The sequence below is a fragment of the Homo sapiens genome, chromosome 15 (assembly GCF_000001405.40).
Source record: "Homo sapiens chromosome 15, GRCh38.p14 Primary Assembly".
NCBI lineage: Eukaryota > Metazoa > Chordata > Mammalia > Primates > Hominidae > Homo > Homo sapiens.
Genome location: NC_000015.10, coordinates 76,593,009 through 76,620,791, shown reverse-complemented (window position 1 = coordinate 76,620,791; position 27,783 = coordinate 76,593,009). Strand labels below are relative to the sequence as shown.

Here is a 27,783-nt window from a genome sequence, read left to right as displayed (position 1 = left end):
CCCCTTATAAGTGAGAACATGCGGTGTTTGGTTTTCTGTTCCTGCATTAATTTTGCATAGATGACTCTTTTACTGGTACTTTTAACAGTGAAAAAGTCAAGAAACAATTTAAGTGCCCCAAGTTGAGGAATATCCATAACCACTTGTTGGTGTACATATGCTATAGAATGTTAATGTAGCCATTATTTGCATTTACAGTAGAAATATTCTTGCCTGTCAAAAGATACCAGTCAGCTTACTACTTTTATTTATTATTGTTCTGAAAGTATTAGGCATTGTAATAAAAAGATAAATCCATATAAAACATTAAAGAAGTAAGAAAATTATCAAGATTAGGAAGATGCTGTATATCACAAATACTGTATATCAGGAGAATGGAGTGCAGAACTAGTAGAAGCAACAAGAGAAATCAATTCAGTAGGATGGTGGATTACCAAATTAATATAATAACAATAATAGGTAACATTTACTGAGCCATTACCTTATGCTAGACTCTATGTGTGCTAACTCATTCCTGACAATAATTCTATGAGGTTAATTAGGGAAACTAAGCTCTAGAGAGGGTAACTTGCCTGAAGCTACACAACAGCATATCTAGCATACAAAAATTAATAGCTTTTCTTTGCAATAACCACTTAGAAAATATAAATATATTTACAATAGCAATAAAAAGAAGTAAAATATTTAAGAGAAAACTTATATATATATATTTTTTGAAGACAGAGTCTCGCTCTGTCGCCCAGTCTGGAAGGCAGTGGCATGATCTAGGCTCACTGCAACCTCTGCCTCCCAGGTTCGGGCAATTCTTGTGCCTCAGCCTCCCACCTAGCTGGGACTACAGGTAAGTGCCATCATGCCCAGCTAATTTTTTATATTTTAGTAGAGACAATTTTACCTTGTTGCCCAGGCTGGTCTCGAACTCCTGCGCTCAGGCAGTCTGCTCACCTTAGCCTCCCAAAGTGCTAGGATTACAGGCATGAGCCATCGTGCCCGACCTTTAAGAGTAAACTTAAGAGGAAATGTGAAGGATCTATTAAAAGAAAATCTTAAAAAGCTAACAGGATAGCATTAGGAGATATACCTAATGCTAAATGACAAGTTAATGGCTGCAGCACACCAGCATGGCACATGTATACATATGTAACTAACCTGCACATTGTGCACATGTACCCTAAAACTTAAAGTATAATAATAATAAAAAAAAGAAAGAAAAAATAATTGCAGAGAATGCATAAAACAAATTAGCTCTCTCTAAAAGATGGGAATATAAAATGATACAACTACCTTGGAAAAATAGTTTGGCATTCTCTTAAAAAGCTAAACATACTCCCCGCCATTCCACTCTTAGGAATATACCCAAATGAAATGAAAGCATGTGCCCACATAAAGACTTGTATATATTGCAGCCATTTTAATTGTAATAATAGCTCCAAACTGGAAATAACTCAAATATTTATCAAAAGATGAATGTATAGGTTCATACAATGGGGTATTACTTAGTAATAAAGAATAAACACACAACAAAAAGGATAAATACTGAAATAATTATCTGAGTGAAAGAAGCTGGAGCATAAAAAGTACATAGTCTGTGATTCCATTTATATCAAGTAGTAGAAAATGCAAACTAGTTTATAGTAATAGAAACACGGCTGGGTGCGGTAGCTCACATCCATAATCCCAGCACTTTGGGAATGTGAGGCAGGTGGATCACTTGAGATCAGGAGTTCAAGACCAGCCTGACCATCATGGCAGAACCCCATCTTTACTAAAAATACAAAAACTAGCTGGGCATAGTGGTGTGCACCTGTAATCCCAGCTACTCAGGAGGCTGAGGCAGGAGAATCGCTCGAACCCGGGAGGTGGAGGTTGCAGTGAGCTGAGATCGTGCCACTATACTGCAGCCCAGGCAATAGAGCAAGGCTCCATCTCAAAATAATAATAAAGGCCATTTAAGGAGAATTTGTCATTTGTATATCACTTTCTTTCTCATTTTTGTAAACATTGCTTAAAACAGGCTTCATGTGCTCATTATATAATTTTTGAAATACATATTTACTTTTAAAACTCTCAAGTAATAAGTTGATACAATTTTAAATCAATTTTGTAATATTTTAATATTTAGCAATTCTGTTAATTTGGATTGTAATGAATAATCGTGTCACAGAAGAGAAAATAATAAATAATAATGTTCTACTTGTGAAAAAAAAGCTAACAAGAGATATAAAAGACTTTTATAAATGGAAAGACAAATCATACTCTTGGATAAAAGACACAGGACAGTAAGTTTGCTGTAAATATTCCTACAAATGTAATGTAATTCCTGTAAAATAGCAACCTTTTTTTCATAGATCTAAAATCATTCTAAAGAGAATATAGAAATGTCTGAGAATTTCTAGGAAAAATTTTTGAAAGAAGGAATATGAGATAGGACTCAGCTAATGGATATTTAATAAAATTTTAAAGCTGCACTCACACATGAATAAAAATACAAATTGTTGGAAGAGTGTTCTTTTGTTTTTGTTTTTGTTTTTTGAGACAGAGTCTCACTCTATCACCCAGGCTGGAATGTAGTGGCGTGATCTCGACTCACTGCAACCTCTTCCTCCCGGGTTCAAGTGGTTCTCGTGCCTCAGCCTCCCTAGTAGCTGGGATCACAGACACCTGCTACCACACCCGGCTAATTTTTATGTTTTTAGTAGAGACGGGGTTTCACCAGGGTTGGTCAGACTGGTCTCGATCTCCTGACCTCAAGTGATCCACCCGCCTTGGCCTCCCGAAGTGCTGGGATTATAGGTGTGAGCCATCATGCCCAGCTGGAAGAGATTTTTTAAAACAGTCTAGAAATACATCTAAATACTTGAGGAAATTTAATATATGACTGTGGTATACAGTATTTGCAAAAGATGGCCAGAAGAAGTTGAGCCATTTCTGAATACATGCCCCTTTGCAGTAGAACTTTGCTGTTTCTCCTATCAAGAAGTGGACTCTGTTTCCCTTCCTCTTGAACTTCTGGACCTGTGACTTGTTTTGGCCCATTGAAAGCTGTAGAAGTGATATGTGACTTCCAAGCCTTAGCCTCACGGGTCTATGGTTTCTGTTCTCGCCCTCACTTTCTTATTCTTCAGTAACTGCCATGTAAGGAAGCCTGGGTCAGCCTCCTTGTGAGTGAGAAATCACATGAAGGGACAGGCTCAGTTGTCCTGGCTGTCCCTTCTGAAAACCCTAGGCAAGGGATTAAGGCCATCCAGGACCAGTTATCACCTAGCTGGTTATGTTAGGTGAGACGAGAAGAATTATCTAGCTGAGCCCAGGTCAAACTGCAGGGAGCAAATAGATAGTTGTTTGAAGATACTGAGTTTTGAGGCAGTTTGTTTCACAGCAAGTAATTACTGATGCAACGACAAAGGTGGAATTCCAAGTCATTAGGGAAAGGATAGATTAGCCAGTAAATGCTGATGAATACTCTTTTCACTCCTTACTCTAGCAGTTAAATTACTGATTAATCAAAGATGTAAAGATAAAAACATGAAACTGTAAAAACACTAGAAGAAAACAGAGGAAATGTCAAAGTCCCTTCTAAATAAACTTCTAGACACAGGAGTCAGAGAAGAAAAGACGGATGACTTTGACTATATCAAAGTGAAAACTTTATGCTTGGTTAAATACCATAAAGAAAAAAGAGGGGTGGAAATATTTACAACAAAAATGATAAAGAGCTCATGTAATATATAAATCAATACCTTGTATAAATTAATATGAGCAAGATCATTCATCAGTAGGAGAAAATATTGGATATGATCAGATAATACAAGGAAAAGGAAGTTAAAAGTGCCCAATTTGTTTTACTTTTGAAATTCCAAACTACTTAATTGGATTTTTAAAAATTATGTTTATAGACATTTTAATGCTGTGAGGAAATGCTTATGATGATTGAAAACTTGTAATTTTGATACAGTATGAGCTTTTTACATTAAAATGATAGAGGCCCAAAAAGGTAGTAATGCTACTTAAATTCAAATTTCCATATACATCTTCCTAAAAACTATATATATCAACAAGGAAAGCAAATTAAGTCATCAGTACTTCATATCTATACTATATTTAGGAGACATAGATGGCTACGACTGTACTTTTTTTCATTTTTTAAAATGGTGATGAAATACATATAGCAAAATTTACTATCTTACTCATTATTAATACAGTTTAATGATATTAAATACATTCATATTGTTGTGTAGCTATTACATCATCCATCTCCAGAACTATTTTCATCTTATAAAACTATAACTATACCCATTAAACAATAATTTCCCATACCTCCTGTTCCTAGCACTTGGCAACCACCATTCTACTTTCTATTATTATGATTTTGACTACTCTGGGTAACTCATGTTAAGTGTAAATATACAGTATTTGTCTTTTTGTGATAGGCTTATTTCATTTATCATAATATCCTCAAGATTTATCCATGTTGCACCAAGGATAAGAATATTCATCCTTTTTAGGGCTGAATAATACTCCACTATATGTGTTGCTTATCCATTAATCTGTCATTAGACATTTGGATTGCTTCCACTGTTTAGCAATTATGAATAATGCTGCTGTGAACATGGGTATACAAATATCTCTTTGAGTCCCTGTTTTTAATTATTTTCTGTATATATCCAGAAGTAGAATTGCTAGATCATATGGCAAATCTATTTTTAATATTAATATATTGAGGAACCAGCACACTGTTTTCCACAGTAGCTATACCATTTTTTACATTCTCACCAGCTCTGCACAAGAGTAACAATATCTCCATGTCCTCACCAGTACTTGTTATTTTCTGCTTTTTTTGATAGTAGCCATCCATATAGTTGAGATAGTATCTCATTTTAGTTTCGGATTGCATTTACCTAACGATTAGTGATGTTGGACATCTTTTCGTGTGCTTTTTGGACATTTGTATATTCTTTTTTTTTTTTTTTTTGAGATGGAATCTCGCTCTGTTACCCAGGCTGGAGTGCAATGGTGGGATCTCACCTCACTGCAACCTCCAGCTCCCGGGTTCAAGTAATTCTCCTGCCTCTGCCTCTCGAGTAGCTGGGATTACAGGTGTGTGCCACCGTGCCCAGCTAGTTTTTTGTATTTTTAGTAGAGATGGGGTTTCACCATGTTAGCCAGGATGGTCTCAATCTCCTGACCTCGTGATCTGCCTACCTCGGTGTCCCAAAGTGCTGGGATTACAGGTGTGAGCCACCGTGCCTGGCCTCATTTGTGTGTGTGTGTGTGTGTGTGTGTGTGTGTGTGTGTGTGTCTGTGTGTGTGTGTATGTATATATACACATACAGACACATTTGTTTTTGAGATGGACTCTTGCTCTGTTGCCAAGCTAGAGTGCAGTGGCGCGATCTCAGCTCACTGCAATCTCTGCCTCCCGGGTTCAAAGGATCCTCCCACTTCAGCCTCCCAAGTAGCTTGGGACTACAGGAGTGTGCCACCAACTCGGATAATTTTTGTAATTTTTTGTAGGGAGGGGGTCTTACCACGTAGCCCAGGCTGCTTTTGAACTCCTGGGCTCAAGCAATCCGCCCCCCCTCAGCCTCCCAAAGTGCTATTACATCTTCTTTAAATGCTTGGTAGAATTCACCAGTGAATCCATCAAGTCCAAGGCTTTTCTTCAACGAGAGATTTTGATTACTGATCTACTTAATTGTATGTCTTTTAGGTCTTCTATTTCTTCATCATTAGATTTTGGCATATTTTGGGTTTCTAGGAAGTGGTCTGTTTTGTGTAGGTTATCCAATTTAGTGCCATACAGTTGTTAATAGTACTCTCTTTGAATCCTTCTTATGTATTCATAAGTAGTAAGATCAGTAGTAATGTGCCCACTTTCATTTCTGAATTTAGCAATTAGTATCTTTTCATAGTCAATCTAGCTAAAGGTTTGTCAGTTTAGTTTGTCTTATGGAAGAACCAGCTGTTGGTTTCATTGATTTTTCTCTATTTTAAAAAATTCTGTTTCATTTATCCCTGTACTAGTCTTTATTATTCTTTCTGAAGGAAATAATAAAGCTTTGGGTTTAGATTTTTCTTCCTTTTCTACTTTGTTAAATATAAATGTTTATAAATGTCCCCCTTCTTTCACTGTGTCTCATGCATTTTGATATGTTGTGCTTTCATTTTCATTTGTCTGTATTTTCTGATTTTTCTTTGACTACTTTTGTGATTCATTGATTGTGTAAAAATGCGTTATTTTTCACAAATTTGTGAATTTTTCAGGTTTGTTTTTTTGTTACAAATTTCTAACTTCATCCTGTTGTGGTCAGAGAATACACATTGTATGACATCTATCTTTGTGAATCTATTGAGTCTTCATTTGTTTGTTTTTGTTTTTGTTATTTGTTTTTTAACTTTTAAGTTCAGGGTTACAAGTGCAGATTTGTTACATAGGTAGTAAACTTGTGCCATGGGGATTTGTTGTACAGAATATTTTATCACCCAAGTATTGAGACTCCTTAGTTATTTTTCTTGGTCTTCTCCCTCCTCCCACCCTCCATCCTCCAAAAGGCCCCAAGGTATGTTGTTCCCCTCTATGTGTCTATGAGTTCTCATCATTTAGCTCCCACTTATAAATGAGAACATGTGATATTTGGTTTTCTCTTCCTGTGTTAGTTTGCTAAGGGTAATGGCCCGCAGCACCATTCATGTCCCTGCACAGGACATGATCTCATTCCTTCTTATGGCTGTATTATATTCCATGGTGTATACATACCACATTTTCTTTATCCAGTCTATCATTTGTGGGCATTTAAATTGATTCCATGTCTTTGTTACTGTGAATAGTGCTGTGATGAACATATGTGTGTGCATGTATCTTTATATTCCTTTGGATATATGTCCAGTAATGGGATTGCTGGGTTGAATGGTATTTCTGTCTTTAGGCCCTTTGAGGAATCACCACACTGTCTTCCACAATGGCCGAACTAATTTACACTCCCACCAACAGTGTGTAAGCATTTCTTTTTCTCTACAACCTTGCCAGCATCTGTGATTTTTTGACTTTTAAATCGTAGCCATTTTAACTGGTATGACATGATATCTCATTATGGTTTTGATTTGCATTTCTCTAGTGATCAGTGATGTGGAACTTTTTTTCATATGATTTTTGGCCATATGTGTATCTTCTTTAGAAAAGTGTCTGTTCATATCCTTTGCCCACTTTTTAATCGGGTTGTTTTTTCTTGTAAATTTAAGTTCCCTATAGATGCCAGGTATTTTGTTAGATGCATAGTTTTCAAGAATTTTCTCCCATTCTGTAGTTTGTCTGTTTACCCTGTTGATAGTTTCTTTTGCTGTTCAGAAGCCCTTTAGTTTAATGAGATACCATTTGTCAGTGTTTGCTTTTGTTGCAAGTGCTTTTGGTGTCTTCGTCATGAAATCTTTGCCCATGCCTGTGTCCCAAATGGTATTGCCTAGGTTGTCTTCTAGGGTTTTTATAGTTTTGGGTTTTACATTTAAATCTTTAATCCATCTTGAGTTAATTTTTGTACATGGTATAAGGAAAAGGTCCAGTTTCAGTCTTCTGCATATGGCTAGCCAGTTATCCCCACACCATTTATTGAATAGGGAATCCTTTTCCCATTGCTTGCTTTTGTCAGGTTTGTTGAAGATCAGATAGTTGTAAGTGTGTGGCTTTATTTCTGGGCGCTCTATTCTGTTCCATTGGTCTATGTGTCTGTATTGTACCAGTACCATGCTGTTTTGGTTACTGTAGCCCTGTAGTATAGTTTGAAGTCAGGTAGCTTGATGCCTCCCATGCTATTCTTTTCGCTTAGGATTGCCTTGGCTATTTGGGCTCTTTTTTGATTCCATATGAATTTTAAAATAGTTTTTTATAGTTCTGTGAAGAATATCAATGGTAGTTTAATGGGAATAGCATTGAATTTAGTAAACTGCTTTGAGCAGTATGGCCATTTTAATGATATTGAGTCTTCCTATCCATGAGCATGGAGTGTTTTTCCATTTGTTTGTGTCATCTCTGATTTCTTTGAGCAGTGGTTTGCAGTTCTCCTTGTAGAGATATTTTACCTCTCTAATTAGCTGTATTCCTAGGTATTTTATTCTTTTTGTGGCAGTATGGAATGGGAGTTAGTTCCTGATTTGGCACTCAGCTTGACTGTTGGTGTATAGGAATGCCAGTGATTTTTGCACATTGATTTTGTATCCTGAGACTTTGGTGAAGCTGTTTTTCAGCTCAAGAAGCTTTTGGAGGGTTGGGCACAGTGCCTCATGCCTGTAATCACAACACTCTGGTAGGACACAACAGGCGGATTGGTTGAGTTCAGTTCAAGACCATCCTGGGCAACATAGCAAAACCCTTTCTCTACTAAAAATACAAAAAAATTAGCCAGACATGGTGGCTTTCACCTGTAGTTCAGCTACTCGGGAGGCTGAGGTGGGAGAATCACCTGAGCCTGGGAGGTCCAGGCTGCAGTGAGCCGAAATTGCACTACTGCACCCCAGCCTGGGCAACCAGAGTGAAACCCTGTCTCAAAAAAAAGCAAAAAAGAAGCAGCAGCAGCAGCAGCAGCTTTTTGGGCTGAGACTGGGATTTTCTAAATACAGGATCATGTTATCTGCAAACAGGGATAGTTTGATTTTCTCCTCTATTCCTGTTTGAATACCGTTTATTTATTTCTCTTGCCTGATTGCCCTAGCCAGAACTTCCAGTACTATGTTGAATAGGAGTGGTGAGAGAGGGCATTCTTGTCTTGTGCCGGCTTTCAAGGGATATGCTTCCAGGTTTTGCCTGTTTAGTGCAATGTTGGCTGTGGGTTTGTTATAGATGGCTCTTATTATTTTGAGGTATATTCCTCCAATACCTAGTTTATTGAGAGTTTTTAACATGAATGGATGTTAAATTTTATCAAAAGCCATTTCTGCACCTATTGAGATAATCATGTGGTTTTTGTCTTTAGTTCTGTTTATGTGATGAATAATATTTATTGATTTGCTTGGTTGAACCAACCTTGCATCCTGGGGTTGAAGCCTACTTAATCATGGTAGATAAGCTTTTTGATGTGCTACTGGATTTGGTTTACCCAGTATTTCATTTTGGATTTTTCCAAATTGATGATGAACACATCAGTGTTCATCATGGATGTTTGCCTGAAGCTTTCTTTTTTTGTTGTATCTGCCAGGTTTTGGCATCAAGATAATACTGGCCTTATAGGATCTGTTAAGGTGGAGTCCCTCCTCCTCAATTTTTTGCAATAGTTGCAGTAGGAATAGTACCAGCTCTTCTTTGTACATCTGTTAGACTTCAGCTGTGAATCCTTCTGGTCCTGGGCTTTTTTTTGGGTGGTAGGCTGTTACTGCCTCAATTTCAGAACTCATTATTGGTTTGTTCAGAGATTCCGTTTCTTTCTTGTTTAGTCTTGAAAAGGTGTATGTGTCCAGGAATTTATCAATTTCTTTTTCATTTTTTTCTTATGTTTTCTTCTAAGACTTTTATAGTTTCGAGTCTTACATTTTTTATCTGTTTTGAGTTTTTTTCTATATTGTTTGAGACTGGTGTTCGATTTCATTTTTTTGCATAAGGATACTCCATTTTCCTAACACCATTTGTTGAAGAGACTATTCTTTCTCCATTGCATGTTCTTGGTGCCCTTGTCAAAGATCAATTGACTGTGAATGTGTGGGCTTATTTATGGATTCTGTATTCTATTCTATTGGTCTATAGGTCTATTTTTATGCCACTATCTTATGTTTTGATTAGTTTTATAATATAATTTAAAGTCAGGAAGTGTGATGCCTTCAGTTCTGTTCTTTTTGCTCAAGATTGCTTTAACTATTTGGGGAGTATTGTTGTTCCATTTGTATTTTAGAATTGTTATTTGTATTTCTGTAGAAATGCTTTTGGAATTTTGATAGGGATTTCACTGCATATGTAGATCACTTTGGGTATTATGGCCAATTTAACAATATTATTCCAATCCATTAACATGGGGTATCTATTTATTTATGTCTTTTTAAATTTCCTTAATCAGTGTTTTATAATTTTCAGTGTATAAGTCTTTCACCTTTTTAGTTAATTACTAAGTAATTTTTTGTTTTTCTTGTTAATGTAAATGGAATTGTTATTCCAATTTCCCTTTTAGATAGTTTGTTGTTTATACATAGAAATCTTAGTGACTTTTGTATGTTGATTTTGTATTCTGCAACTTTACTGAATTTGTATATTAATACTATCAGGATTTTTTTGTAGAATCTTTACGGTTTTCTTTGTGTGTGATTTTGTCATATCCAGTCATTTTACTTCTTTTCCAAATTGGATGCATTTTATTTATTTTTCTTGCTTAATTGCTCTGGTTAGGAGTTCCAGAACTGTGCTCAATAGCAGTGGTGATAGTAGGCATCCTTGCCTTATTCCTAATCTTGGAGGAAAGCTTTCTATTTTGCCTGAGGTCTGGGGTTGATTGTGGACTTGTGTGATAGTCATGCTTGGTTTCTTGAGGGACATGCATGGTGGTAGCTGGCTGGGGTGACATTAGGGTTTAGAGGATGGTGGGTGACTCATGCAGCTGGGGTTTGGGAAGACATAAACTGTGGGGTCAGTGATGTTGAAAGCTGGGAGTGGGCGCACAGTGCTATGCTGGCACTGGTTTTCTCAGTTGCAGAGGCTCTTGGGGTCCTCTGTAGAGTAGGCCACTGAGCACCACAGTGGCATCATGGGAGGGGAAAAGTAATTATTTTGTAATATGTCAGAGCATTCCGTTTTTACCAAGCCCTGCCCTCAGGAAAGAAAAAACTATTTCACCAGAGCCTAACCTTCTGGGGTTTTATCATAGCCAATTCTACCTGGTGAAATGGGAAAACCCAACTCTTATGCTCATTAGCCATGCTCTTCCACATAAGGGGGAAAAAAAAAGAAGTACTGGTTAAAGTCACAGTCCAGCTGCACAGGCTTACCAAAATAGTGAGACCTAATCATAGAATTATAGAACATTTACCCTCCTTTCACCTCTTACCATGATTTTACTAAAGGCTGATATACTACCATAGTTCCATTTACCTAGTACATCATGTCCATCTTTCAAAAATCTGACAGGATATACTAAAAGTCAAAACATGCAATTTGAGGAGACTGAACTAGCATCAGATTCAGAGTCAGATACAGCAGAAATGTTGGAATTACCAGATCAGAAATTTAAATAACTATGAATAGTATGCTAGGGCATTAATGAAAAAGTGGGCAACATGCAATGACAGATGGATAATATAAGCTGGGAGATAATTTTTTTTTTAAGTGACACCTTTTAATCAAAGGTCTCATTCTGTTGCCCAGGCTGAAGTGCAGTGGCATGATCATAGCTTACTGTAACCTCAGCCACCTGGGTTCAGGCAACTCCCAACTCAGCCTCCTCGGTAGTTAGGACTACAGGCACACGCCACCATGCCCAGCATTTTTTTTTTTTTTTTAAGAGAAAAGATCTCACTGTATTGTTGCCCAGGCTGATCTTGAGCTCCTGGCCTCAAGCAGTCCTCTTGCCTCAGCCTCCCAAGGCACTGGGATTATAGGTGAGAGCCATTGTGCCCAGCCCAATATTCTAAGAAACAATAAAAAAGAAATGCCAGGGAGGAGCCAAGATGGCCGAATAGGAACAGCTCCAGTCTACAGCTACCAGCATGAGCGACGCAGAAGACGGATGATTTCTGCATTTCCAACTGAGGTACCGGGTTCATCTCAATGGGGAGTGCCAGACAGTAGGGGCAGGACGGTAGGCACAGCGCACTGTGCGCGAGCCGAAGCAGGGCGAGGCATCGCCTCACCCAGGAAGCACAAGGGGTCAGGGAATTCCCTTTCCTAGTCAAAGAAAGGGGTGACAGACGGCACCTGGAAAATCGGGTCACTCCCACCCTAATACTGCGCTTTTCCAACGGGCTTAAAAAACGGCACACCAGGAGATTATATCCCTCACCTGGCTCAGAGGGTCCTACCCCAACGGAGTCTCACTCATTGCTAGCACAGCAGTCCGAGACCAAACTGCAAGGCAGCAGTGAGGCTGGGGGAGGGGCGCCCGCCATTGCCGAATTAGTTGTTTGATTAGGTAAACAAAGCGGCCGGGAATCTCGAACTGGGTAGAGCCCACCACAGCTCAAGGAGGCCTGCCTGCCTCTGTAGGCTCCACCTCTGGGGGCAGGGCACAGACAAACAAAAAGATAGCAGTAACCTCTGCAGACTTAAATGTCCCTCTCTGGCAGCTTTAAAGAGAGTAGTGGTTCTCCCAGCACGCAACTTGAGATCTGAGAACGGGCAGACTGCCTCCTCAAGTGGGTCCCTGACCCCCGAGTAGCCTAACTGGGAGGCATCCCCCAGTAGGGGCAGATTGACACCTTACACGACCGGGTACTCCTCTGAGACAAAACTTCCAGAGGAACGATCAGGCAGCAGCATTTGCGGTTCACCAAAATCCGCTGTTCTGCAGCCACCGCTGCTGATACCCAGGCAAACAGTGTCTGGAGTGGACCTCTAGCAAACTCTAACAGACCTGCAGCTGAGGGTCCTGTCTGTTAGAAGGAAAACTAACAAACAGAAAGAACATCCACACCAAAAACCCATCTGTACGTCACCATCATCAAAGACCAAAGGTAGATAAAACCACAAAGATGGGGAAAAAAAACAGCAGAAAAACTGGAAACTCTAAAAATCAGAGCGCCTCTCCTCCTGCAAAGGAACGCAACTCCTCACCAGCAACAGAGCAAAGCTGGACAGAGAATGACTTTGACGAGTTGAGAGAAGAAGGCTTCAGACGATCAAACTACTCTGAGCTACAGGAGGAAATTCGAACCAATGGCAAAGAAGTTAAAAGCTTTGAAAAAAAATTAGACGAATGGATAACCAGAATAACCAGTGCAGAGAAGTCCTTAGAGGACCTGATGGAGCTGAAAACCAAGGCACAAGAGCTACGTGACGAATGCAGAAGCCTCAGTAGCCGATGCGATCAACTGGAAGAAAGGGTATCAGCGATGGAAGACAAAATGAATGAAATGAAGCGAGAAGGGAAGTTTAGAGAAAAAAGAGTAAAAAGAAATGAACAAAGCTTCCAAGAAATATGGGACTATGTGAAAAGACCAAATCTGCGTCTGATTGGTGTACCTGAAAGTGACGGGGAGAATGGAACCAAGTTGGAAAACACTCTGCAGGATATTATCCAGGAGAACTTCCCCAATCTAGCAAGGCAGGCCACCATTCAAATCCAGGAAATACAGAGAATGCCACAAAGATAATCCTCAAGAAGAGCAACTCCAAGACACAAAATTGTCAGATTCACCAAAGTTGAAATGAAGGAAAAAATGTTAAGAGCAGCCAGAGACAAAGGTCAGGTTACCCACAAAGGGAAGCCCATCAGATGAACAGCTGATCTCTCAGCAGAAACTCTACAAGCCAGAAGAGAGTGGGGGCCAGTATTCAACATTGTTAAAGAAAAGAATTTTCAACCCAGAATTTCATATCCAGCCAAACTAAGCTTCATAAGTGAAGGAGAAATAAAATACTTTACAGACAAGTAAATGCTGAGAGATTTTGTCACCACCAGGCCTGCCCTAAAAGAGCTCCTGAAGGAAGCACTAAACATGGAAAGGAACAACCAGTACCAGCCACTGCAAAAACATGCCAAATTGTAAAGACCATCAAGGCTAGGAAGAAACTGCATCAACTAACGAGCAAAATAACCAGCTAACATCATAATGACAGGATCAAATTCACACATAACAATATTAACTTTAGATGTAAATGGGCTAAATGCTCCAATTAAAAGACACAGACTGGCAAATTGGATAAAGAGTCAAGACTCATCAGTGTGCTGTATTCAGGAAACCCATCTCACGTGCAGAGATACACATAGGCTCAAAATAAAGGGATGGAAGAAGATCTACCAAGCAAATGGAAAACAAAAAAAGGCAGGAGTTGCAATCCTAGTCTCTGATAAAACAGACTTTAAACCAACAAAGATCAAAAGAGACAAAGAAGGCCATTACATAATGGTAAAGGGATCAATTCAACAAGAAGAGCTAACTATCCTAAATATATATGCACCCAATACAGGAGCACCCAGATTCATAAAGCAAGCCCTTAGAGACCTACAAAGAGACTTAGACTCCCACACAATAATAATGGGAGACTTTAACCCCCCACTGTCAACATTAGACAGATCAACAAGACAGAAAGTTAACAAGGATATCCAGGAATTGAACTCAGCTCTGCACCAAGTGGACCTAATAGACATCTACAGAACTCTCCACCCCAAATCAACAGAATATACATTCTTTTCAGCACCACACCACACCTACCCCAAATTGACCACATAGTTGGAAGTAAAGCACTCTTCAGCAAATGTAAAAGAACAGAAATTATAACAAACTCTCAGGCCACAGTGCAGTCAAACTAGAACTCAGGGTTAAGAAACTCACTCAAAACCGCTCAACTACATGGAAACTGAACAACCTGCTCCTGAATGACTACTGGGTAAATAATGAAATGAAGGCAGAAATAAAGATGTTCTTTGAAACCAATGAGAACAAAGACACAACATACCAAAATCTCTGGGACACATTCAAAGCAGTGTGTAGAGGGAAATTCATAGCACTAAATGCCCACAAGAGAAAGCAGGAAAGATCTAAAATTGACACCCTAACATCACAATTAAAAGAACTAGAGAAGCAAGGGCAACCACATTCAAAAGCTAGCAGAAGGCAAGAAATAACTAAGATCATTGCAGAACTGAAGGAAATAGAGACACAAAAAACCCTTCAAAAAATCAATGAATCCAGGAGCTGGTTTTTCGAAAAGATCAGCAAAATTGATAGACCGCTAGCAAGACTAATGAAGAAAAGAGAGAAGAATCAAATAGACGCAATAAAAAAAGATAAAGGGGATATCACCACCTATCCCACAGAAATACAAACTACCATCAGAGAATACTATAAACATCTCTATGCAAATAAACTAGAAAATCTAGAAGAAATGGATAAATTCATCGACACATACATCCTCCCAAGACTAAACCAGGAAGAAGCTGAATCTCTGAATAGACTAATAACAGGCTCTGAAATTGAGGCAATAATTAATAGCTTACCAACCAAAGAAAGTCCAGGACTAGATGGATTCACAGCCGAATTCTACCAGAGGTACAAAGAGGAGCTGCTACCATTCCTTCTGAAACTACTGCAATCAATAGAAAAAGAGGGAATCCTCCCTAACTCATTTTATGAGGCCAGTATCAACCTGATACCAAAGCCTGGCAGAGACACAACCAAAAAAGAGAATTTTAGACCAATATTCTTGATGAACATTGATGCAAAAATCCTCAATAAAATACTGGCAAACCGAATCCAGCAGCACATCAAAAAGCTTATCCACCACGATCAAGTGGGATTCATCCCTGGGATGCAAGGCTGGTTCAACATACGCAAATCAATAAACATAATCCAGCATATAAACAGAACCAAAGACAAAAACCACATGATTATCTCAATAGATGCAGAAAAGGCCTTTGACAAAATTCAACAACCCTTCCTGCTAAAAACTTTCAATAAGTTAGGTATTGATGGGTCGTATCTCAAAATAATAAGAGCTATCTATGGCAAACCCACAGCCAATATCATACGGAATGAGCAAAAACTGGAAGCATTCCCTTTGAAAACGGGCACAAGACAGGGATGCCCCCTCTCACCACTCCTATTCAACATAGTGTTGGAAATTCTGGCCAGGGCAATCAGGCAGGAGAAGGAAATGGTATTCAATTAGGAAAAGAGGAAGTCAAGTTGTCCCTGTTTGCAGATGACATGATTGTATATTTAGAAAACCCCATCGTCTCAGCCCAAAATCTCCTTAAGCTGATAAGCAACTTCAGCAAAGTCTCAGGATACAAAATAAATGTGCAAAAATCACAAGCATTTTTATACACCAATAACAGACAAACAGAGAGCCAAATCATGAGTGAACTCCCATTCACAATTGCTTCAAAGAGAATAAAATACCTAGGAATCCAACTTACAAGGGATGTGAAGGACCTCTTCAAGGAGAACTACAAACCACTGCTCAGTGAAATAAAGGAGGATACAGACAAATGGAAGAACATTCCATGCTCATGGGTAAGAAGAATCAATATCACGAAAATGGCCATACTGCCCAAGGTAATTTATAGATTCAATGCCATCCCCATCAAGCTACCAATGACTTTCTTCACAGAATCAGAAAAAACTACTTTAAAGTTCATATGGAACCAAAAAAGAGCCCGCATCGCCAAGTCAATCCTAAGGCAAAAGAACGAAGCTGGAGGCATCCCGCTTACCTGACTTCAAACTATACTACAAGGCTACAGTAACCAAAACAGCATGGTACTGGTACCGAAACAGAGATATAGACCAATGGAACAGAACAGAGCCCTCAGAAATAATGCCGCATATCTACAGCTATCTGATCTTTGACAAACCTGACAAAAACAAGCAATAGGGAAAGGATTCCCTATTTAATAAATGGTGCTGGGCAAACTGGCTAGCCATATGTAGAAAGCTGAAACTGGATCCCTTCCTTACACCTTATACAAAAATTAATTCAAGATGGATTAAAGACTTAAAGGTTAGACCTAAAACCATAAAAACCCTAGAAGAAAACCTAGGCAATACCATTCAGGACATAGGCATGGGCAAGGACTTCATGTCTAAAACACCAAAAGCAATGGCAACAAAAGCCAAAATTGACAAATGGGATCTAATTAAACTAAAGAGCTTCTGCACAGCAAAAGAAACTACCATCAGACTGAACAGGCAACCTACAGAATGGGAGAAGATTTTTGCAACCTACTCATCTGACAAAGGGCTAATATCCAGAATCTACAATGAACTCAAATTTACAAGAAAAAAAACAACCCCATCAAAAAGTGGGCAAAGGATATGAACAGATACTTCTCAAAAGAAGACATTTATGCAGCCAACAGACACATGAAAAAATGCTCATCATCACTGTCCATCAGAGAAATGCAAATCAAAACCACAATGAGATACCATCTCACACCAGTTAGAATGGCGATCATTAAAAAGTCAGGAAACAACAGGTGCTGGAGAGGATGTGGAGAAATAGGAACACTTTTACACTGTGAGTGGGACTGCAAACTAGTTCAACCATTGTGGAAGTCAGTGTGGTGATTCCTCAGGGATCTAGAACTAGAAAACCATTTGACCCAGCCATCCCATCACTGGGTACATACCCAAAGGATTATAAATCATGCTGCTGTAAAGACACATGCACACATATGTTTATAGCAGCACTATTCACAATAGCAAAGACTTGGAACCAACCTAAATGTCCAAGAACCATAGACTGGATTAAGAAAACGTGGCACATATACACCATGGAATACTATGCAGCCATAAAAAATGATGAGTTCATGTCCTTTGTAGGGACATGGATGAAATTGGAAATCATCATTCTCAGCAAACTATCGCAAGGACAAAAAAACACCGCATGTTCTCGCTCATAGGTGGGAATTGAACAATGAGAACACATGGACACAGGAAGGGGAACATCACACTCTGGGGACTGTTGTGGGGTGGGAGGAAGGGGGAGGGATATCATTAGGAGATATACCTAATGCTAAATGACGAGTTAATGGGTGCAGCACACCAACGTGGCACATGTATACATATGTAACTAACCTGCACGTTGTGCACATGTACCCTAAAACTTAAAGTATAATAATAATAAAATTAAGTAAATAAATAAATAAAATAAAAACTATTGAGGATCCAAACCAAAAAAAAAAAAAAAGTTTTCTTGCTGTCTTAGTAAATTCTGAACCAATAAATGAGCTCAAATTAAAAAAAAAAAAAAGAAATGCCAGAATTTGAAAACATGGTAACAAAAGTGAACAGTGCTATTGATAGGCTGATTAGTAGACCAGATAGCTGAGGAAATAATCTCAGCTTGAGGATATGACAATAGTAACTTCCAAAATTGAAAAACAATTTAAAGAAGACTGGGGAGAAAGTGAACAGAATATCTGAAACTGTGGGACAACTGCAAAAAGGTATAACGTACATGTAATTGGGATACCAGAAGGGAAAAGAAAGTGAGGAGGAACAAAAGCAGTATTTGAAACAATCATGACTGAGAATTTTCCCCAAATTAGTGACAGACACCAAATCCTAGATCCAGGAAGTTTAGAGAATAGGAGAATACCAAGCAAGATAAATGCTTCCCCCAAAAAACAAAAACAAAAAATTCTACCTGTGAGCGTATGATATTCAAATTGCAGTAAATCAAAGAGAAATGAAAAATCCTGAAAGACCAAAGGGGAAAGAAACACCTTACCTATATGGGAGCAAAGATTAGAAAAAAACTCACCAACCTAGAATTCTGTACTGTGCAAAGTTATACTTCAAAAATGAAGAAATAAAAACTTTTTCAGATAAACTAAATTGAGGGAATTGTTGCTATTAGACTTGCCTTGCAGGAAATGTTAAAAGAAGTTCTTCAGAGAGAAGTTAAATGATACAGATCAGAAACTCAGATCTGTATAACAAAAGGAATAATTTTGAAGAACGAATAAACATAGATAAAATAACATTTTTCTTATTGTTAATTTAACAGATAACAGTTTGTTCAAAATAATAATAGCAACAGTGTTTTCTATTATGTATGCTTATGTGTGTATGTACAGTTGACCCTTAGACAGCATGGGTTTGAACTACCCAAGCCCAATGATATGCAGATGTTTTCAACCAAACACGGATTGAAAATGTAGTATTCTCAGGATATAAAACTCATGGATATGGAGGGCTGACTTTTCGTATTTGCAGATTCCAAGGGGCCGACTGCAGGACTTGAATATGTGCAGATTTTGCTTTACATGGGGTTCCTGGAACCAATCTCACACATATACCAAGGGATGACTGTATATTTATTTCTATGTGAAATGAATGACAGCAGTGATAGAAGGGATAGGAAGGAAAAATGAGGAATATTTTGTTATTATAAGGTATTTCACAGCACTACCTGTGAAGCAGTATAGCATTATTTGAAACTGGACTTGGAATAATTATAAATCTATACTGCAAACTTTTAGTTTGCAACTACTAAAAATAAGAAATATACAGTCATACATCACTTAACAATGAAAATATGTTCTGAGAGATGTGTCCTTAGGCAATTTCATCATTGTTTGAACATCAGAGTATACATACACAAACCCAGATGGTGTAGCCTACTATACATTTAAGCTATATGATATGGCCTATAGCTCTTAGGCTACAAACATGTATGCCATGTTACTGTAATGAATACTACAGGCAATTGTAACAAAATGATAAATATTTGTGTATTTAAACATAACTAAACATAGGAAAGATACAGTAAAAATGCAGTATTATAATCTTTTGGGACCACTGTCATATATGCAGTCTGTCATTGACTGAAACATCCTTATACAGCATATGACTGTAATTGATGTGCTAAGAAAGGAGAGAATATGTAATCATATAAATTGCTAATTTAAAACCATCAAATAACCAGGCTAAATAAGAAAACTCACATACGTATCATTAGATGGAGAAAAAATGTTTGACAACATCCATCACCCATTCATGATAGAACACCATTATTCTTATTTTAGAATATTGTCTACTACCATTACTTTTTAAATAAAAAGCATAATTTTCAATTTCTATTCTGTGTATCCACATTAACATTTTCTTTAATTCTCAATACATTTTTTCTTCGGTTTTTGTTGCTAGTATTAGAAATTTCTTCTGTTGTTGTTTTTTGAGTAAACTTTTCAGAGGTTGTTTTTTATTGGTCCTTTCCAAAAATTGCTTTAAAATGTATAGATTCGATCTTTTTGTTTTCTGTTTTGTTTTCACTTTGACTTCATTTCTTCTTTTATCCTTCTTACTGTGTTTTCATAGAGAGTGTTTTTGTTTTTATTCATCTCCACATAATTGGTATTTTATTCTGAATCCAAGAGTGATTTAGAATTATTTTAAAAAAATACTTTCTGGGTGGGGCGCAGTGGCTCACGCCTGTAATCCCAGCACTTTGGGAGGCCGAGGTGGGCAGATCGTCTGAGGTCAGGAGTTCAAGACCAGTATGGCCAAAATGGGGAAACCCTGTCTCTACTAAAAATACAAAAATTAGCCAGGCATGGTGACAGGTGCCTGTAATCCCAGCTACTCGGGAGGCTGAGGCAGGATAATTGCTTGAACCTGGGAGGCGGAGGTTGCAGTGGGTAGAGATGGTGCCATTGCACTCCAGCCTGGGTGACAAGAGCGAGACTTCATCTCAAAAAAAAAAAAATATATATATATATGTATATGTATACACACACACACACACACACACACACACACACACACACACACATATACACACACTTTCCAAGTATGCTATTTTTCTATTAGTTTTGCTTAATTTTAAGTTTATATGTTGTTCAGTGATTTCTGCCTTTGGGATTTGGGATCTTCTTTTTTAATACAGTTTACTAATTGTAACTATTCCTTATTTTTTGAAAAGTATGTTATCTGTTTGGTACAAAGTGTGAATATCATAATAGATATTTCTGTAGTTTTTCTAGCATGAAATTTTTCAAAAATTCAGAAAAGTTGGAAAGAATTTTACTGTGGAAACTTATGTATCCTCTACATATATTCTGTAATTATTTACTATACTTAATCACATTTATTCATCTTTCCATCCCTTTATCCATTATCAATCCATCAGATTTTGATGCATGAAAGTAAATTGCATACATCAGTATATTCCTCCTCCAGTATTTCAACATGCATGTTATTAACTCAAGTTCATTATTTATCCTTGTTTGTGTGTTTGTTTTGAGGTAAAATTTACATGTAACAAAATGCGCAGATCTTAAGGGTGACATTTGATAAATTTTGACAAATGCAGACACTGAGTATTTTAAACACCTCTCAAAATTTGCACAGTATCATCATCCCAGAAGGTTATTATATGTCCTTGGTGAATCCCTTTACTCCCACCCAAGAGGCAACCACTATTCTGATTTTCTTTCATCACTGATTAGAATCACCTGTTGTAGAGCTTGTCTTTCACCACAGATGAGAATCATCTGTTGTAGAGCTTGCTATAAATGAAATCAAATAGTATGTACTCTTTTGTATAAGCCTTCTTTCATTCAGCATGTTTTTGTGTTTCACCCATGTTGTGTTTATCAATTCATTCCTTTTTATTGCTGGACAGTACTCCTATGAGTAAATGTAGCCTTGATTTGTTTGTGTATTCCACTAATGATGGATACTTGGGCTCTTTCTACTTTTTGGAAATAAATTTTGGATATAAGTTTTCATTTCTATTGGGTGAACACCTAGGCATGAATGTGCAAAGTCCTTTGATATGTGTATGTTTAGGTTTATAAGAAACCACGAGACCGTTTTTTCAAAGTATTATTACCATTTTACCTACTTTCCAACAATGTGTGAGAGTTCCTGTTTCATATCCTTGGTAATATTTGACGTTGTCAATCTTTTTAATTTTAGGCATTCAGATGGGTATGTAGTGGCATTTTTAAATTTTATTTAGAGTTTCCATGATAATCCTAATGGTGTTGAGTGTCCTCTCATGTATGTATAAGCCATTTATTTCTTCTTATGGCAAGTGTCTATTCAGATATTTTGCCATTTTTGGTGAATTATCTTTTTTTATTATTGAATTGTAGATATCTATATACTTGTGTATATTTTTATTATTTTTTTAAAATCTAGCAGGTAACCTTATGCTTAATACATATTCATTTTATTACCGCTAGAAACTGGGTCCTGGCAAAAGTTTTTTTTTTTTAATTATACTTTAATTTCTGGGATAAATGTGCAGAACATACAGGTTACGTAGGTATACATGTGCCATGCTGCACCCATCAACCCGTCATCTACATTAGGTAGTTCTCCTAATGCTATCCCTCCTCTATCCCCCTAACCCCAACAGGCCCCGGTGTGTGATGTTTCCTTCCCTGTGTCCACGTGTTCTCATTGTTCACCTCCCACTTATGAGTGAGAACATGTGGTGTTTGGTTTTCTGTTCCTGTGTTAGTTTGCAGAGAATGACGGTTTCCAGCTTCATCTATGTCCCTGTAAAGGACATGAACTCATCCTTTTTTATGGCTATATAGTATTCCATGGTGTATATATGCCACATTTTCTTTATCCAGTCTATCATTGATGGGCATTTGGGTTGGTTCCAAGTCTTTGCTATTGTGAAAAGTGCTGCAATAAACATACGTGTGCATGTGTCTTTATAGTAGAATGATTTATAATCCTTTGGGTATGTACCCAGTGATGGGATTGCTGGGTCAAATGGCATTTCTAGTTCTACATCTTTGAGAAATTGCCACACTGTCTTCCACAATGGTTGAACTAATTTACACTGTCACCAACAGTGTAAAAAGTGTTCCTATTTCTCCACATCCCCTCTAGCATTCGTTGTTTCCTGACTTTTTAATGGTCACCATTCTAACTGGCGTGAGACGGTATCTCATTGTGGTTTTGATTTGCATTTCTTTAATGACCATTGATGATGAGCCTTTTTTCATGTTTGTTGGCCGCATAAATGTCTTCTTTTGAGAAGTGTCTGTTCATATCCATCACCCACTTTTTGATGGGGTTGTTTTTTTTTTCTTGTACATTTGTTTTAAGTTCCTTGTAGATTCTGGATATTAGCCCTTTGTCAGATGGATAGATTGCAAAAATTTTCTCCCATTCTGTAGGTTCCCTGTTCACTCTGTTGATAGTTTCTTCTGCTATGCAGAAGCTCTTTAGTTTAATTACATCTCATTTGTCAATTTTGTCTTTTATTGCCATAGCTTTTGATATTTTAGTCATGAAGTCTTTGCCCATGCCTATGTCCTGAATGGTATTGCCTAGGTTTTCTTCTAGGGTTTTTATGATTTTAGGCCTTATGTTTAAGTCTTTAATCCATCATGAGTTAATTTTTGTGTAAGGTGTAAGGAAGGGGTCCAATTTCAGTTCTCTACATATGGCTAGCCAGTTTTCTCAACACCATTAATTAAATAGGGAATCCTTTCCCTATTTCTTGTTTTTGTCAGGTTTGTCAAAGATCAGATGGTTGTAGATGTGTGGCATTATTTCTGAGGGCTCTGTTCTGTTCTGTTGGTCTATATATCTGTTTTGGTACTAGTACCATGCTGTTTTGGTTACTGTAGCCTTGTATAGTTTGAAGTCAGGTAGTGTGATGCCTCCAGCTTTGTTCTTTTTGCTTAGGATTCTCTTGGCTGTACAGGCTCTTTTTTGGTTCCATATGAAATTTAAAGTAGTTTTTTCTAATTCTGTGAAGAAAGTCAATGGTAGGTTGATGGGGATACCACTGAATCTGTAAATTACTTTTGGCAGTGTGGCCATTTTCATGATTTGATTCTTCCTATCCATTAGCATGGAATGTTTTTCATTTGTTTGTGTCCTCTTTTATTTTGTGGAGTAGTGGTTTGTAGTTCTCCTTGAAGAGGTCCTTCACATCCCGTGTAAGTTGTTTTGCTAGGTATTTTATTCTCTTTGTAGCAATTGTGAATGGGAGTTCACTCATGATTTGACTCTCTGTCCATTATTGGTGTATAGGAATGCTTGTGATTTTTGCACACTGATTTTATATCCTGAGACTTTGCTGAAGTTGCTTATCAGCTTAAGGAGATTTGGGGCTTAGACGATGGGGTTTTCTAAATATACAGTCATGTCATCTATAAACAGAGACAATTTGACTTCCTCTCTTCCTATTTGAATACTCTTTATTTCTTTCTCTTGCCTGATTGTCCTGGCCAGAACTTCCAATACTATGTTGAATAGGAGTGGTGAGAGAGGGCATCCTTGTCTTTGCCGGTTTTCAGAGGGAATGCTTCCAGCTTTTGCCCATTCAGTATGATGTTGGCTGTGGGTTTGTCATAAATAGCTCTTATTATTTTGAGATACATTCCATCAATACCTACTTTATTGAGAGTTTTTAGCATGAAGGGTTTTGAATTTTATCGAAGGCCTTTTCTGCATCTATTGAGATAATCTTGTGGTTTTTCTCGTTGGTTCTGTTTATGTGATGGATAGTATTGATTTGTGTATGTTGAACCAGCCTTGCATCCCAGGGATGAAGCCGACTTGATCATGGTAGATAAGCTTTTTAATGTGCTGCCAGATTTGGTTTGCCAGTATTTTATTGAGGATTTTCACATCGGTGTTCAACAGGGATATTGGCCTGAAATTTTCTTTTTTTGTTGTGTCTCTGCTGAGTTTTGGTATCAGGATGATGCTGGCCTCATAAAATGAGTTAGGGAGGAGTCCGTCTTTTTCTATTGTTTGAAGTAGTTTTAAAAGGAATGGTACCAGTTCCTCTTTGTACCTCTGGTAGAATTTGGCTATGAATCCATCTGGTCCTGGGCTTTTTTTTTTTTTTTTGGTTGGTAGGCTATTAATTACTGCCTCAATTTCAGAACTTCTTATTGGTCTGTTCAGGGATTCTTCTTCCTGGTTTCATCTTGGGAGGCTGTATGTGTCCAGGAAGTTATCCATTTCTTCTAGATTTTCTAGTTTATTTGCATAGAGGTGTTTATAGTATTCTCTGATGGTAGTTTGTATTTCTGTGGGATAAGTGGTGATCTTTTCTTTGTCATTGTTTATTGTGCCTATTTGATTCTTCTCTCTTTTCTTCTTTATTAGTCTGGCTAGTGGTCCATCTATGTTGTTAATCTTTTCAAAAAACCAGCTCCTGGATTCACTGATTTTTTGAAGGGTTTTTCGTGTCTGTATCTCCTTCAGTTCTGCTCTGATCCTAGTTATTTCTTCTGCTAGCTTTTGAATTTGTTTGCTCTTGCTTCTCAGTTCTTCTAATTGTGATGTTAGGGTGTTGATTTTAGATCTTTCCTGCTTTCTCCTGTGGGCATTTAGTGCTATAAATTTCCCTCTAAACTCTGCTTTGGCAGTGTCCCAGAGATTCTGGAACATTTTGTATTTCTTCCCATTGGTTTCAAAGAACTTATTATTTCTGCCTTAATTTTGTTATGTAACCAGTAGTCATTCAGGAGCAGTTTGTTCAGTTTCCATGTAGTTGTGCAGTTTTGAGTGAGTTTCTTAATCCTGAGTTCTAATTTGGTTGTGCTGTGGTCTGAGAGACTGTTTGTTATGATTTCTGTTCTTTTGCATTTGCTGAGGAGTGTTTTATTTCCAATTATGTGGTCAATTTTAGAATAAATGCGATGTGGTACTGAGAAGAATGTATATTCTATTGATTTGGGGTGGAGAGTTCTGTAGATGTCTATTTGGTCCACTTAGTCCAGAGCCAAGTTCAAGTCCTGAATATCCTTGTTAATTTTCTGCCTCGTTGATCTGTCTAATATTGACAGTGGGGTGTTAAAGTCTCCCACTATTATTGTATGGGGGTCTAAGTCTCTTTGTACGTCTCTAAGAACTTGCTTTATGTATCTGGGTCCGTATATATTTAGGATAGTTAACTCTTCTTGTTGCATTGATCCCTTTACCATTATGTAATGCCCTTCTTTGTCTCTTTTGATCTTTGTTGGCTAAAGGTCTGTTTTATCAGAGACTAGGACTGCAACCCCTGCTTTTCTTTTGCTTTTCATTTGCTTCATGGATCTTCCTCCATCCCTTTATTTTGTGCCTATTTTTGTCTTTGCTTGTGAGATGGGCCTCCTGAATACAGCACACTAATGGTTCTTGACTCTTTATCCAATTTGCCAGTCTGTGTCTTCTAATTAGGGCATTTAGCCCATTTACGTTTAAGGTTAATATTGTTATGTGTGAATTTCATCCTGTCATTATTATTCTAGCTGGTTGTCTTGCCGGTTAGTTGATTCAATTTCTTCGTAGTGTTGATGGTCTTTACAGTTTAATATGTTTTTGCAGTGGCTGGTACCGGTTGTTCCTTTCCATATTTAGTTCTTCCTTCAGGAGCTCTTGTAAGGCAGGCCTGGTGGTGACAAAATCGCTCAGCATTTACTTGTCTGTAAAGGATTTTATTTCTCCTTTGCTTATGAAGCTTAATTTGGCTGGATTTGAAATTCTGGGTTGAAAATTCTTTTCTTTAATAATGTTGAGTATTGGCCCCTACTCTCTTCTGGCTTGTAGAGTTTCTGCAGAGAGATCCGCTGTTAGTCTGATGGGCTTCCCTTTGTGGATAACCCGACCTTTCTCTCTGGCTGCCCTTAACATGTTTTCCTTCATTTCAACCTTGGTGAATCTGATGATTATGTGTCTTGGGGTTGCTCTTCTCGAGGAGTATCTCTGGGGCATTCTCTGTAATTCCTGAATTTCAGTGTTGGCCTTTCTTGCTAGGTTGGGGAAGTTCTCCTGGATAATATCCTGCAGAGTGTTTTCCAACTTGGTTCCATTCTCCCAGTCACTTTCAGGCACACCAATCAAACGTAGTTGTGTTCTTTTCACATATTCCCGTATTTCTTGGGGGCTTTGTTCATTCCTTTCTATTCTTTTTTCTCTAATCTTGTCTTCATGCTTTATATCATTAAGTTGATCTTCAGTCTCTGATATCCTTTCTTCCGCTTGGTTGATTCAGCTATTGATCCTTGTGTATGCTTCACGAAGTTCTCGTGTTGTGTTTTTCAGCTCCATCAGATCATTTATGTTCTTCTCTAAACTGGTTATTCTAGTTAGCAATTCCTCTAACCTTTTTTCAAGGTTCTTAGCTTCCTTGCATTCGGTTATATCATGCTCCTTTAGCTCAGAGGAGTTTGTTATTACCCACCTTCTGAAGCCTACTTCTGTTAATTTGTCAAACTCATTCTCCATCCAGTTTTATTCCCTTGCTGGCAAGGAGCTGTGATCCTTTGGAGGAGAAGAGGCCTTCTGGTGTTTGGAATTTTCAGCCTTTTTGTGCTGGTTTTTCCTCATCTTCCTGGATTTATCTACCTTTGGTCTTTGATGTTGGTGACCTTCGGATGGGGTTTCTGTGTGGATGTCCTTTTTGTTGCTGTTGATGCTATTCCTTTCTGTCTGTCAGTTTTTCTTCTAACAATCAGGCCCCTGTACTTCAGGTCTGCTGGAGTTTGCTGGAGGTCCACTCCAGATCCTGTTTGCCTCGGTATCACCAGTGGATGCTGCAGAACAGCAAAGATTGCTGTCTGTTTTTTCCTCTGGAGGCTTTGTCTCAGAGGGGCACCCACCAGATCCCAGCCAGAGCTCTCCCGTATGAGGTGTTTGTTGACCCCTTGCTGGGAGGTGTCTCCCAGTCAGGAGGCATGGGGATCAGGGACCCACTTGAGGTGGCAGTCTGTCCTTTATTTGAGCTCGAGCACTGTGCTAGGAGATCCGCTGCTCTCTTCAGAGTCAGCAGGCTGGAATGTTTAAGTCTCCTGAAGCTGTGCCCACAGCCGCCCCTTCCCCCAGGTGCTCTGCCCCAGGGAGATGGGAGTTTTATCTATAAGCCCCTGACTGGGGCTGCTGCCTTTCTTTCAGATATGCCCTGGCCAGAGAGGAGGAGTCTAGAGAGGCAGTCTGGCTATAGCAGCTTTGCGGAGCTATGATGCCTCCACCCAGCTCGAACTTCCCAGTGGCTTTGTTTACCCTGTGAGGGGAAAATTGCCTACGCAAGCCTCAGTAATGGCAGGCACCCCTCCCCACACCAAGCTCAAGCTTCCCAGGTCGACTTCAGACTGCTGTGCTGGCAGCAAGAATTTCAAGCCAGTGGATATTAGCTTGCTGGCCTCTGTGGGGGTGGGATCTGCTGAGCAAGACGAGTTCGCT

At 38.3% G+C, this 27,783-nt stretch overlaps 1 protein-coding gene across 26 annotated transcripts in view; it reads left to right on the top strand.

Moving 5' to 3' along the window:
* The window catches only part of SCAPER (S-phase cyclin A associated protein in the ER), a 557,437-nt gene that overhangs the window by 284,549 nt on the left and 245,105 nt on the right, over nt 1–27,783 (top strand). The gene's annotated exons all lie outside the window — the stretch shown is intronic.